Here is a 15,536-nt window from a genome sequence, read left to right as displayed (position 1 = left end):
TCCTCGATTTATTTTTATATTTATATCACTCAGGGGTTTCTATTTAATTCCATTGATTATCATGTTACGATCATTACATTTGATGACTTTCCAAATAAGTCGCAAAGAAGCTGTACGGTGAGGTGGACCAGCTTGAAAAAATGATTAATAACAACCGAGAGAATGGCAGAACTTCATGGCTTCATAAAATTGAGCAGAGTGTTGTGAGATTAAAACAGATGTCTGGCAAAAGTGAATGAGTGAAACCTAATCAAAATAAAATGTATTACATTTATCTTCAAGGTTAAAAAATTAAAAAGGCAAATCCTTTCATTTCAAATTGAAGCTACCTTCAGAGATCCTTCAATAATTTGGCAGAATCTTGGTGGAAGTAGTTGGAAGGTGATGTGCCTGGTCTAGACGTGTAAAGCCCTGGTGAGGATGGCACGTGGGCATGGCACAAGGGACTACAAGGCATTTGGTAGAATATGGAAGTTCCCCCTTCTGGGGATCAAACCCAAAGTATATGATCCTGAGAGTGTTGGGTACAAAGGTGAATGCCGCAGAGTTGGTGAGAGCTCTCATTTTTCTCTGAAGGAAAACTTATGACAAATCCTACTGTCTCACCAGTGCCTTTTCCTTTTTCACTAGCTGGAACAGATTATGTTGGTATCAGCCGAAACCTGGACTTTGCTCCAGGCGTGCGCATGCAGACATTCCAAGTGACCATCCTTGATGACCTGGGACAGCCTACCTTGGAAGGCCCAGAGAAGTTTGAATTACTTCTTCAGATGCCTATGGGTGCAGTGCTTGGAGAACCAAATAAAACTACCATTTTCATCGAGGACACCATCACGGACTGTAAGCAGAGTGCTTGTAGTTCCTTTGATTGAAAGACTTTAAGAGGGAAAAAAACAGCCAAGATATGTCTCCTAACAACAGAATGAAACTCTACTGTTTATAGATCTTAGCAATTCTGGGATATCAGTGATATTGTACTGTCATTGGTGTTATATTCTGGTGATATGTGGAAATGTAATTTATATGACTGCATGGAGATAGAAATATATATACCTAGAAAACATTGAGCCCACAAATAATTAGACTGTGTTCATGTTCTTTTTCTATTTTGTTTTACTTTGTTTCTGAGGCAAGTAAGAAATCCACTGTGATCAATTAAATCAAAAGTTAAGATCAAAGAATTAACCTCTCTTTACTGATTGATGCTGCATATGAAACACTTTTCAACTCTCTCTCTCCATATATAAAGTTCCTTTAGCGAATTCTTCGATTTTTGTTCACAAGTCTTTATCAGAACTACTTGGTAGGGAAATTTTTCAACTTTTTATTCCTTTGCACTCTTTTGTAAAAAAAAAAAAAAAAGGATAATAAACAGTAAAATGATGAACATGCAAGTAGTGGAAAGGAGAAGAAAGAAGAGTTGAAGATTTGCATAGTTCACAAACTGCCCAATTAGTTCTTAACTAATGTTAAATTGACAATATATATAGCCGTGGCTAATACCACATAAATCAAAGTTTCCAAATTATTTTGAAACCACATCTTTGTGCCCCATCATTACTTTTTAGGTATTTCTTATGCAAATCTTTTTTTAAAATTTGTGTTTCAGACATTAACTTATTCTCAAGCCAATATAGTGTATAATAGAAACCATTCCCAGATGCATTTTTTCCAAATATTGAATAGGGATAAAAAGGCTCTTGACTGTGATATAGTCTGCATATATAGGCCAAGAAACCCTTGTCTACTGTTAGCCCAGGTTTTGCTTCTTTGCTAGACTTTCATTTTCCCAACCAGAGGAAATATTTTTCTAAACTACCTGATAACTCTTGACCTCACTTCTCCCTCTGTAAAATGAGAAATTTGGACTCAATTTCTGTTAAGATCTCTTCCAGTTCTGTCTGATTCCTGTCTGAGTGCATATCCACCAACAGAAAATCACCCTCCCTCACCTTGCAATTTGCCCAACCACCAGGGGCAAAACTCTTTTAAACTCAAATTCAACAAATAGTTATTGGGCTTCTTCTTCAGGTCAAAGAGATATGTCCCCTTCACACACATTAGAAAAAAAGTAATAGAAAAACTACACATGGACCAAGATAACTCTCAGATATACCTAAGAGACCCCACAGATCCCCTGGTTTGGGCCTCAAATGAAGCAACAACTGAATTCCCTGCTGAGTACCTGTGTGCCCAGGGGAAATACACATTGTCGGCATTATGGAGGAATCTGTTTTGAACTCAAAATTAATTCCAGTCTTTCAGTGTTTTTCAGAAAATCACTCTTTTTCTCTCTCATTGTATTTTTTTGTTACTTAGGTACATTCAGATGAATGCAGTGTTTAGGCATTCATATTTTTGGGGGGAGGATATCACAAACAGTGCTTTTTATAAAGTCTGTTTCATTCCCAGTTTCTACCCATTAAGATATGCCAGAGAAGCAAAATTACATTTTTTAGGATAAAACCTAGTGTATTCTAGTTATGACTTATAGCATATTCTACAATTCAGTAATGAAAGTAATCTAGTGTCCTGAAAGAGTGAAAAAAATGCCTGATTTCCTACCAGGAATGGAATTGCACACTATGGAAAACTGGGCTCATTTGTCATCCCTTATATACTCTTCCCTATGCTAACATTTTTATAGAAAAAATATTAAGTATTTTTTTCTCACTTAAAACTTTAGTTTTCTCAGAGCTGGAAAGTGTAATGGAGATACACTAGATGTTGCTGTTCTTGTGTAAACGTTAAATGGAAAGTTGTTGTATATTTTATTTCAGTACCCAGGGCCCAATTTAAGGGCTCCACTGACAGGGTGAATGAAAAAGGCAGCTAAGGGCCATCATTTACTGGAGCAGAGACACCAGCCATAGGTCCTTGGTGAACTGCCATACCCACCAGGGCTCAGCCCAGGAGACAGTGAACTATGGGGAGCAACCCAACACTGATGACTCCACAGCTGGCTTTCTGCCAGCTAAGCATTCAAAAATTTGTTTGTCACTAAGGCAGCAGAATGTTGCTGCTCCTAACCTTATTTATAATAATAAATAATTATAAGCAGCCTAAATACCCAATACTCAGGAAATGGTTAACTGAATTATAGGATATCTACTTGATAGAATAGTATGAATTCTAGAGTATCCATGACCATGTGGCTATTGCAATCCTTAAACATATGGAAAAGACTAAAAGAAAATGCCTGGAAATGGTAATAACTTTCTATTAGGGTAATGAGATTATCAGTCATTTATTTTGTAAACGTACTTTAAAGTTCTGTCGGTAAATATATGTGCTCATTAGCAAGTTTTTGCTATTTATGAAATTGAGGAAATTAAACAGATTATAATGACCTCATTCTGTTATTGTTATTACAATTTGTGATGAAGTCTCATAGGGTCCCTGCAGGAATATTTAGCACTGACTTGTCCTAATCCCTGGAACCTACGGATTTTACCTTATATAGAAAAAGCATCTTTGCACATGTAATTAAGGATCTTGAGATAGGAAGATTATCCTGAATGGGCCCTAAATGTAATCACAAGAGTCCTCATAAGAGGACGTGAGATACAGGTTACATACAGAAGAGGGGGATGCAATGTGACTATGAAAGGCAGAGATTGGAGTAATAGGGCTACAAGCCATGGAAGGCCAGCAGCCACTGGAAGCTGGCAGGCAGGAAGTAGATTCTCCTGCTGGAGGCAGTACATCCCTGCCAACAACTAGGCTCTGTCCCAGTAATACTGATTTTGGACTTCTAAACTCCAGAACTAGGAGAAAGTAAATTTCTGTTTTTTTAAGCCATCAAGTTTATAGTAATTTGTTATAGCAGCCACAGGAAGCTGGTACCACAGGCAGGGAGAGATCAGGAGAGTTTGCTGGTATTGGCAACGAACTAAAATGAAGAACACTAGAAAGCACACTCAGGGAATACAGACAGAGGTTGACACTCAGTGTCTGCTGTGAGGGGATCTTTCTGTAGAGATTCAAGGCCCTGTCCTGAAGACATAACGCAGTCCATCTGACAGAGGTAATACTTGGAAGCAGCATCAGCAGATAAACAATGTCCTGAAAGCAATGGGAATTCCAACCTGAGGCTTTAGTAGACCTATGTTTCGAAAGAAGCTGTAGGCAGTCCAGCATTAGCCTAATCTACCAATAATGTAAGTATTAATAAATCTAATGAAATAAAAACTATTCCTCGGCTGGGCATGGTGGCTCAACATTGCTGGTGTAATCTCGGCACATTGGGAGGCCAATGCGAGAAGACTGTGTGAGCCCAGGAGTTTGAGACAAGCCAGGGCAACATGGTGAGACCCTGTCCCTACAGAAAACAAAAACTTAGTCAGGTGTGATGGCCCAAGCCTGTAGTCCCAGCTACTTGGGAGGCTGAGGTGAGAGGATTACTTGAACCCAGAAGTTTGAGGCTGCAGTAAGCCACTGCACTCCAGCCTGGGCAGTAGAGCAAGACCCTGTCTCAAACAAAACAAAACAAAAACACAACAAAACAGAGATAAAACTAAGATTCTATTCCTCTACTCACAACATTTCTTACACAAAATGTGTGGGTTCTTCCCACACCAAGAACCAATTCTCCCACCCTTGGGATACCAACTGGGTACCCTACCATTCCTACCTGGAGTTAGCATCAGATCCCACAGGTGAAGGGCTCAGTCCCTTAAGACTGCTCCCACTTCGGACACCATACTTCTGAACAACTTGGCTACAAATTGGAACTGCCCATAACCACCTCTCAGGTTTGATAATTTGCAATAACAGCACAGAACTCAGGGAAACACTTTTACTATTACTGGTTTATTATAAAGGATATTATAATAGATAGAAATGAACAGCCAGATGGGCCAGGCTCAGTGTCTTACACCTGTAATCCCAGAACTTTGGGAGGCCAAGGTGGGTAGACCACTTGAGGTCAGGAGTTTGAGACCAGCCTGGCCAACATGGTGAAACCCTGTCTCTAGTAAAAATACAAAAATTAGCCGGGTGTGGCGGCACGTGCCTGTAATCCCAGCTATGCGGGACGCTGAGGCAGGAGAATCATTTGAACCCAGGAGGCAGAGGTTGCAGTGAGCCAACATTGCGCCATTGCACTCCAGCCTGTGTGACAGAGCAAGAGTCCATCTCAAAAAAAGAAAAAGAAAAAGAAGAAAAGAAATGAACAGCCAGATGAAGAGGGACACCGGGCAAGGTCCCAAAGGGTCCTGAGCACAGGAGCTGCTGTCCCCTGGAGTTTGGGATGCACCACCCTCCTACCATGTGGATGCATTCACTGACTTGGAACCTCTCCAAACCCTGTTATTTAGGGTTTTTATGGAGACTCCATTTTATAGGCATGGTTTATTAAATCATTGCTCATTGGTGATTGACTTAATCTCCAGCTCTTCTTGCCTCCCTCGAGGTTTGGAAGTGGGACTGAAATTTCCAACCCCGTAATCACATGGTTGGTTCCTCTGGAAAGCAGCCCATCCTTCAAGAGTCACCTCATTAGCATAAACTCATATATGGTTAACAGGGGCCTATTAGGAATAGCAAAAGACTCTCCACTTTCCTCTATCACTCAGAAATTCCAAAGGTTTTACTAGCTCTATGACAGGAATCAGGAACAAAGACCTTAAATGATATTTCTTATTATATAACAATATCGCACTACTAATTTCAAGACTATAGAAAAAGACTCCAAATTTGGAGCATGACTAGAGAATACACACACACACACACATACATATATATATACACACACACATACACATACATATATATTTATATATACACACACAAACGTGTGTGTCTCTATAGATATCCCCCTCTATATATTCCTCTATAAATCAAAATAAAATAATGATCAGATAAAAAAGAAATAAAATTCGTTAATAAGAATCCTTATACCGTTAAAGAGTGTTTTCAGAGCAGGGTTCATACATCCAGCTGTATCTCCAATTTTCCTTCTGTCTTCACTTATTCACCAATCTCACTTCTTGACGTGAAGTTCATGCTGTCAGTTGATGGACCAGGGCCTCAGACTCCTCCATTCTCAGTATTATGGCATATCTTGACACTACAATAGATCAAATGAATTTTAATTCAGAGCTAGCACAAATATGTTGGACTTTTTACAAAGCTATGTTCTTTGATTCTACAATGGAGCATCACAAGAAAAAAATATGATAGGAAGTTATGAATCATCACAAGAGCTTACCTTCTCTACCATACCCCCATTAATTTTGTACATTTTAAATATTTTAAATGTAATAAAATATAATAAAAATCATATGGATATACTTCCCTGGATTAAGCACCATGACCATTTTATCACATTGGATTTGTCTCATTCTAAAGCTCCAGTTCTTTCCGGGTCACTCTGGTCCTCAATATTGTATTGTGCCATAATAAAAATCAAATGTAATGATGTCCCCCAAGTACTGTAAGACTGTAAGTGCCTTCTTACGGATAATAATTTTTATTGCTCTTACAATGTCAGAATCAATATATATCTCATGTATATTTTAATATATTACATAATATATAATATGCATATTAAGAGGTATCTTGAATTGTAAAAGTATCTGTTTTGAACAGAAGTGCTTAACTTAAATAGACATAATGCTACAAGAAATATATTAACTGAGGAAGAATGTTGAAATTAAGCAACTCTTATACTTATTCAAAGAATGTTAAAGCAAAGGTATAGGCACATCCCCCCTACAGAATGCACTCCTAGTGTCACTGAGTGAGGTCGACAGCAACTTTTTCTAAGATAGAACACCCCACTGGTGAGAGAGCATGCTTAAAGGGCCCAGTTCAGAGCTGAGTGAGGTGGGGCTCCCAGTGAGGAGGAAGCCTGAGCTAGGACCAGATCAGTGCAAACTCTGTGTAATGATTTTTAGCCCTAATGAATGTTTTTCACTGGGTCCAGACCCTGCCTCAGTTCTCCCCAGCTCTCTGGCCATGGTAGACACTAAGTATACTTGAGCTTCCACTTCTTTCTTAGGCCATTCTGAGTAAGTAAAAATGTATTTTTTTAACATAATAGTTAACAAGTATGAAATAATTTCACTAAATATGTGTTGTATGCATGTGTGTGTGTTTATGATTTTTTTACGTCCACAATTACATCTTCCAAGGACTAAAAGAAATCCCATCAGAGAGTCTCCTAAGCACAACCATTGAAGGAAGAGTTCCATATGTTTTCATCTTGTTGAAGCAACAAGAAATTAGGCCACATTTGAACAAGGAATTTTTTGAGAGAAGTACATTGATATCTCAAAAATCAGTAATTGATTATTATTAATCAATTTATTCCAAGCCTGTTTCCCTTATAATATAGAAGTCAATAATTCACAGAGGTAATTGTGTCAATGACTCAGTTTTTCACCTGCAAAATGAGAATATCTCCTTCATAGGATTATTGAGAATCAATATGATGATATATGTACACTAGTGTTCACTAGGCACTCAGCAAACTGTAATTACTATTCCTTGTTTTATTCTTATTATCCTGGAGTGGCCAGTCCCTTATGTTTTCATTAGCATCTGTTCTCCCAGGTCTCTGTCAGCCTCATCTGTCTGACACAGTGGGAGCTGAGCCTTTCTCAGCCAAGATTCAATATATGGGGCCTGATGACGCTGTTTACCTCAATTTAATCAAAATCATTGTGATGATACCGCACATGAATGATAGGTGTTACCACAAGACAAAAGGCACAGGCATGCATTCTCTGCAAGGAGAAGGGGGACCTCAGGGCCATGCCTCAGGCCACTGGAAGAACTGAAGATACAAGTAGGACCCAGTCACCCCAACCCCAAGCTCTGCCCTATGCAGGCTGTCTCCCTGGGTTCCAGGAATGCTGCCTGTCATGTCCACATGGCCTCTTGACAATTTTGAGCTCCCTCTCAGCCCTGATGGCAGGCCATGGTAGACACTAAGTATACTGAGCTTCCTTCTCTTGGGCAGACACTAAGTATATTTGAGATTCCTCCCATGTGGGCAAACGCAGTGCTCCAATCTTCTGGTGACAGCAAGCTCCACACCAAGGATGGCTTCACCACAAAGCACGCCAAGCACCTGGCAGTGCCCAGGCAGAGCCCCCCACCCTCAAACAGTGCAGTGCCTCCCTAAGACCTGCTGGCACCCTTTGCTTTCACTAGAACCTCAACCTGGAGGCCTACCCCTGTGAATTCAGCAGATATTATGACATGCCCAAACTGCTGACTGAGTGTGCTCCAGTGGCTCCTTCGCACTGATGGCCAGGTATGCTTCTGACAGGAGGACTGATGGGGATGGATGGTGGGGGACAGCTGGAGCAGAGCAGCAATCCATACTCATTAACTGGGGACACAATAATCCATTAAAGGCTTAGAGCAATCCTAAATGTGAGTGTAAATGTGAATGAACGCCAGATAAATCAACTAATTGAAGAGGCAGCTCCACATCTGAAATTTCAAATGGAGCTTTAGATACTATCATATTCACTTTCAACAGTTTCCTTACTTGGAATTTACAAGATGCCTTCATATCCTTTTCCCATTTAATTGTCCTTAGTCCAATGTGAGGTGCTTATTAATATCCCATAATAGAAATAAAAATACTCCTGAGTTGTTCAGGTATCAAGGGGTGGAGCTAAGATTTGAGCCCACATCACCTGACTCCTAATTTTACATTTCTTCCACATCTTGCCATAAAAGCATGAATTGAAGTACCTGTGATTTGTTGATGTGCTTATACTTATAGCTGATAAGTACAGAGTTATACAAAGAATCATGGAACCTGAGGAAACTGAGGCTTGAGTTGATTCAACTGAAATGTACAAGCAAAAGTGCTTTAAAATGATGAGATCCTAGCTGAGTGTTGTGAATCACACTTGTAATCCCAGCACCTTGGGAAGCCAAGGGAGAAGGATAGTTTGAAGCCAGTAGTTCAATAACAGCCAGGGCTATAAAGCAAAACCCTATCTCTACAAAAAAAATTTAAAAATTAGCTGAGTGTGGTGGTGCACACCTGTGGTCCTGGCTACTTGGGAGGCTAAAGCAAGAGTATTTCTTGAGCCTGGGAGTTCAAGACTGCAGTGAGCTATGATTGTGCCATTGTACTCCAGGCAGCCTGGATGAGACCCTGTCTCAAAAAAAAAAAAAAAAAAAGATGAGCTCCTGTTCCATTTCAGCAAATTATTTTTCCCAGCATCACATTGGCTGTGATATGGCTGAGACTATGACTCTATTCTCCTGACTGCTAGCTAGCCCAGTGCTTACTCCACCTAATAATGGAGGGTGATTTGAAAGATTTTTCCTAAAGCCTTTTTAGACTTCTTATCCTCTTCTTTTAAATGTAAAGCAAAGTATCAGATTTCTTGGCACCTTTTTTAAAGTGATTTAATGTTGGTAGTTGATATGGATTGGCTGTGTTCCCACTCAAATCTCACCTTGAATTGTAGTAATCCCCATGTTTCAAGGGCGATTACTTTGGACTGTGGACTTTTGAGTTAATGCTGAAGTCAGTTAAGACTTTGGGGGATTGTTGGTAAGGCATGATTGGTTTTGAAATGTGAGGACATGAGATTTGGGAGGGGCCACGGGTGGAATGATACGGTTTGGCTGTGTCCTTACCAACATCTCACCATGAATTGTAATAATCCTCATGTGTCAAGGATGGGGCCAGGTGGAGATAATTAAATCATGGGGGCAGTTTCCCCCAACTATTCTCATGGTAGTGAATAAGTCTTACAAGATCTGGTGGTTTTATAAACGGGAGTTCCCTTGCACAAATTCTCTTGCCTGTTGCCATGTAAGACATGAATTTGCTCCTCATTAGCCTTCCGCCATGATTGTCAGGCCTTCCCAGACATGTGGAACCGTGAGTCCATTAAACCCCTTCCTTCATAAATTACCCGGTCTCAGGTATGTCTTCATTAGTAGCATGAGAATGGACTAATACAGTAGTAAAGCTGTCTGATGGGCTCAAGTGTAAAAGTCAAATGGATAGCCTCACCTGATCCAGAAGTATCACTGCTGACATCTACCTATGAGCATTAACATGAGCCCAAAGTTTCCCTATATCCTCCTTTGGGGCAAATAAGAAGCAGGTTAGACAGCTGTAGAAGAGAAAAAAGACATACAGCCAAATGTGTAAAGCTTTGAAAACTGCTGTCTTAGTCCATTTGTGTTGCTATAAAGGAACACCTGAGGCTGGGTAATTTATAAAGAAAAGTTTATTTGGCTCACAATTCTGCAGGCTGTACAGGAAGCATGGCACCAGCATCTGTTTCTGGTGAGGCTTCAGGAAGCTTTCAATCATGGCAGAAGGTGAAGGGGAGCTGGTGTGTCACATGGCAAGAAAGGAAAAAGGGGGATGAAGGTGCCACACTCTTTTAAACAACAAGTTCTCCTGTGAACAAACAGAACAAGAACTCATTCATTCTGTAAGAAATGCACCAAGCCATTCTTGAGGTATCCACCTCACAACCCAGACACCTCCAGCCAAGCCCTGCCTTCAGCACTGGGGACCAAATTTAAACATGAGATTTGGAGGGAACAAATACCCAAACTATATCATTCTACCCCTTCCCTCCCAAATCTAATGATCTTCTCACACTGCAAAAAAGAATCATCCCTTCCCAATAGTCCCCCAAAATTTTAACTCATTCCAAGCATCAGCTCAAAAGTCCAATCTGAGACTGAGCATGGTGGCTCACACCTGTAATTCCAGCACTTTGAGAAGCCAAGGTGGGCAGATCACTTGAGGTCAGGAGTTCGAGACCAGCCTGGGCAACATGGTGAAATCTGTCTCTACTAAAAATATAAAAATTAGTGAGGTGTGGTGGCACACACCTGTAATTGCAGCTACTTGAGAGGCTGAGGCAAGAGAATCACTTGAACCTGGGAGGCAGAGGCTTCAATGAGCTGAGATCATGCCACTGCACTCCAGCCTGGGTGACCAAGTGAGACCCTTAACTCAAAAGAAAAAAAAAAAAAAAAAAAAAAAGGTCCAAAAGGTCCAATCTGAGACTCAAGGAAAGTTCCTTCCATCTATAAGCCTGTAAGATCAAAAACAAGTTATGAGAATTAAAAACAAAAATTATGTGATCATCTCAACAGATGCAGAAAAAGCATTTGACAAAACCCAGCATCCCTTTATGATCAAAACCCTCAGCAAAATCGGCATGAAAGGGACATAGCTCAAGGTAATAAAAGCCATCTATTATAAACCCATAGCCAACATTATACTGAAAGGGGAAAAGTTGAAATCATTCCGCCTGAGAACTGGAACAAGACAAAGATGCCTACTTTCACCATTTCTATTCAACATAGTACTGTAAGTCTAGCCAGAGGAATCAGACAAGAGAAATAAATAAAGGGCATCCAAATTGGTAAAGAGGAAGTCAAGCTGTCACTGTTCACCAATGATATGATCATATACTTAAAAAATCCTAAAGACTCATGCAGAAACCTCCTAGATCTGATCAATGAATTCAGTAAAGTTTCAGGATAGAAAATCAATACACACAAATCAGTACCACTGCTATACACCAACAATGACCAAGCTGAGAATCAAATCAAGAACTCAACCCCCTTTACAACAGCCACAAAAAAAATAAAATAAAATACTTAGGAATATACCTACCAAGGAGATGAAAGATCTCTACGAGGAAAAACTACAAAACACTGCTAAAAGAAATTGTGGATGATACAAACAAATGGAAACACATTCCATGCTCATGGATTTGAAGAATCAATATTGTGAAAATAACCATACTGCCGAAAGCAATTTACAAATTCAATGCAATTCCCATAGAAATACCATCATCATTCTTCACAGAACTACAAAAAACAATCCTAAAATTCATATGGAACCAAAAAAGAGCCCACATAGCCAAAGCAAGACTAAGCAAAAAGAACAGATCTGGAGGTATCACATTACCTGATTTCAAACTATAGTACAAGGCTATAGTTACCAAAACAGCATGGTAGTGGTATAAAAATAGGCTCATAGACCAGTGGAATGGAATAGAGAACCCAGAAATAAAGCCAAATACTTACAGCCAACTGATCTTCGACAAAGCAAACAAAAACATAAAGTGGGGAAAGGACACCCTATTCAACAAATGGTGCTAGGATAATTAGCAAGCCACAAGTAGGAGAATGAAACTGGATCCTTATCTCTCACCTTATGCAAAAATTAACTCAAGATTGATCAAGAACTTAAATCTGGCCAGCTGTGGTGTCTCACGCCTGTAATCCCAGCACTTTGGGAGGCCAAGGCAGGCGGATCACGAGGTCAGGAGATCGAGACCATCCTGGCTAACACAGTGAAACCCCGTCTCTACTAAAAAATCCAAAAAATTAGCTGGGCATGGTGGCAGGTGCCTGTAGTCCCAGCTACTAGGGAGGCTGAGGCAGGAGAATGGCATGAATCTGGGAGGTGGAGCTTGCAGCGAGCAGAGATCGCGCCACTGCACTCCAGCCTGGGTGACAGAGCGAGACTCCATCTCAAGAAAAAAAAAAGAACTTAAATCTAAGACCTGAAATCATAAAAATTCTAGAAAATACATCGAAAAACTCTTCTAGACATTGGCTTAAGCCAAGATCCCAAAAGCAAATGCAACAAATAGAAAGATAAATAGGCAGGACCTAATTAAACTAAAAAACTTCTGCACAGCAAAAGAAATAGCAGAGTAAACAGACAGCCCCAAGGGAAAAAAGACAAATACTCCTATCAAAGAGTGGACTAAGGATATGAATAGACAATTCTCAAAAGAAGACATGCAAATGGCCAACATCGGAAAAATTGTTCAGCATCACTAATGATCAGGCAAATGCAAATCAAAACCACAATGCGATACCACCTTACTCCCACAAGAATGGCCATAATTAAAAAATCAAAAAATAACAGATGTTGGTGTGGATGTGGTGAAAAGTAGAACTGCTGTTTGATCCAGCAATCCCAGTCTTGGGTATCTACTTAGAGGAAAAGAAATCATTATATGAAAAAGACACTTGCACATGCATGTTTATAGCAGCACAATTCACAACTGCAAAAATATGGAACTAGCCTAAATGCCCATCAACCAATGAGTGGATAAAGAAAATGTGGTATATAGATACCATGGAATGCTACTCAGCCATAAAAAGGAATGAAATAATGGCATTCACAGCAACCTGGAAAGAGACCATAATTCTAAGTGAAGTAACTCAGGAATGGAAAAACAAACATCGTATGTTCGTATGTTGTAAATGAGAGCTAAGCTACGAGGATGCAAAGGCATATATAAGAGTGACATAATGGACTCTGGGGACTTGGGGGAAGGGTTGCGGGGGTGGTGAGGGATAAAAGAGTACACATTGGGTACAGTGTACACTGCTTGGGTGACAGGTGCACAAAAATCTCAGAAATCATCACCAAAGAACTTTTTCATCCAACCAACCAGCACCTGTTCCTCCAAAACTATTGAAATAAAAAAAAAAAAAAACAGGCTGAGCATGGTGGCTCACACCTGTAATCCCAGCACTGTGGGAGGCCAAGGTGGGTGGATCACGAGGTCAGGAGTTCGAGACAAGCCTGATCACCATGATGAAACCCTGTCTCTACAAAAACAAAAAACAAACAGAAACAAGTAGTATCTGTTGATATTGTAAAGAGCAAATCAAACTACTGTTATAGCACATGTGGTTTTCTAATGAGAAAATGCTTATAAAGTATGTCTAGAGGGGAAAATCCTGCTCACTTAAATAGGATAAATTATATCTTCCAGAGGTCCTAATAAGAGTGAGTGAAGAACAATGAGTCAGGGACCCCAAGAAGATACTGAGTTATAATTACCATGTCCATATTAACAACATAAAAGAAAACTTATAATTTAGATGACTAATAAGGCCTTTCATTCTTTCCTACCACTTTCAGGTTTCTCTTACTGTTTCCGGGGTGTTAGTGTTGAAAATAATGATTCTTAGGCACTTTTACAGAATAGCAATATTTAGTAACCACGATTTGGTATAAAAGGATATCAGGTTAATTTATATACAATTTTGCAAGAAAAGTGTGGTAACTTACTGATCTTTTTCTGAAACATACACGAGCCACAAGAAATGCTAACAATTCTGTATAGTATAGCAGTTCGCCTCTCAGTTGTGTCTTATGCACTGCCATGTTTATACATGGGATCCTAACCTTTTAGACTGAAATACATTTAAAAAGTTATAATCTTCAGGTCTCAGAAACAACATATTTAGTTTATATATTTTCTTTCCATTAAGAAAAGGTTTAGCATTTGAGTAAGAACATGACACATTCTGCTTTCTTAATATCATATTGTCTTTAGCATATAACCACCTTTAGATTAAAAACCTGGAGGAAAATGGTTATTTGCCAAAAAATAATTTTCTTCCCTCAACATTTAGGTGAAAACACAAGGCACAAAGTGAAATACAGCCTGGAAGAATATTTATAGAAAGACAGAATTGTATAGAAAGGTATAGAAAGACAGAATTGCCTGACATAAAAATTATTTTAGAATATAAAACATAATTTTAGAAAATGATAAATATGATGGGGTATAATTATTTATTCATAATTCTGGAAAAGTAATAAAAATACATTCACTATATTTAACCAAAAGCATAAACATTCTTTTAAAAAGTAGTACTTGTTATTCATTATGTGCCTTTTTAAACTAATTCAATTATCTTTACTGTATATGATTTTCTCTATATAGATTTCTATTCTGTATGTTACATTCTATTTTTTACTTACAAGCAAATCATTTTTTAAACTCAAATGTGTTAACTCTCTTGAAGTCATGTGCTATCAATAAATAATAAATAATATTGAGAATATTACCTTGAAAAATCAAAAAAAAAAAGAAAACAAGTTATGTTCTTCCAAGATACAATGATGAAATAAAGACTGATAAACATTTCCACTTCAAAATGGAGAAATAGGCCAAAAATAAGGGGCAACAGGCCCCACAGAAATCTGCAACCCAGTAGGGCAGACATTAAATCTTAAAGCTCCAAAATAATCTCCCATGACTCCATGTCCCACATCCAGGCCACACTGGTACGAGGGGTGTGCTCCCAAGGTCTTGGACAGTCAGACCCCTATGACTCTGCTGGGTGCAGCTCACATGGCTGCCCTCATGGGTTGGAGTCGAATGCCTGTGGCTTTTCAAGGCTGAAGGTATAAGCTGGCTCTTCCACTCTGGGATCTGGAAGGCAGTGGCCTGTTCCTACAGCTCCACTAGGCAGTGCCTCGGTGAGGACTCTCCATGGGGGGCTTCAATCTCATATTTCACCTCAGCACTGCCCTATCGAGACTTTCTACAGGGCCTCCACTCCTGCAGCAGGCTTTTTCCTGGGCACCCAGTCTTTCCACTATATCCTCTGCAATCTAGAGGAAAGTTGCCAAGGCTCCACCACTCTTGCCTTCTGCCTGCCTGCAGAACTAACACCATGTGGAAACCTACAAGGCTTATGGCTTGTGCCCTCTAGAGCAGTTGCCCAAGCAGTATCTGGGGCCCTCTGAGCTGAGGCTG

The 15,536-nt window shown here is 39.6% G+C and overlaps 1 protein-coding gene across 1 annotated transcript in view; it reads left to right on the top strand.

Moving 5' to 3' along the window:
- FREM3 (FRAS1 related extracellular matrix 3) overlaps positions 1-1,181 on the top strand; it is a 123,374-nt gene extending 122,193 nt beyond the window's left edge. The window contains exon 8 of the mRNA NM_001168235.2: positions 631-1,181. Coding sequence (NP_001161707.1) covers positions 631-872 — 242 coding nt within the window. The 3' untranslated portion in view covers positions 873-1,181. The remainder of the gene's footprint in view (positions 1-630) is intronic.

The sequence above is a fragment of the Homo sapiens genome, chromosome 4 (genome assembly GCF_000001405.40).
Source record: "Homo sapiens chromosome 4, GRCh38.p14 Primary Assembly".
Lineage (NCBI taxonomy): Eukaryota > Metazoa > Chordata > Mammalia > Primates > Hominidae > Homo > Homo sapiens.
This window is presented reverse-complemented; position numbering and strand designations above follow the sequence as displayed.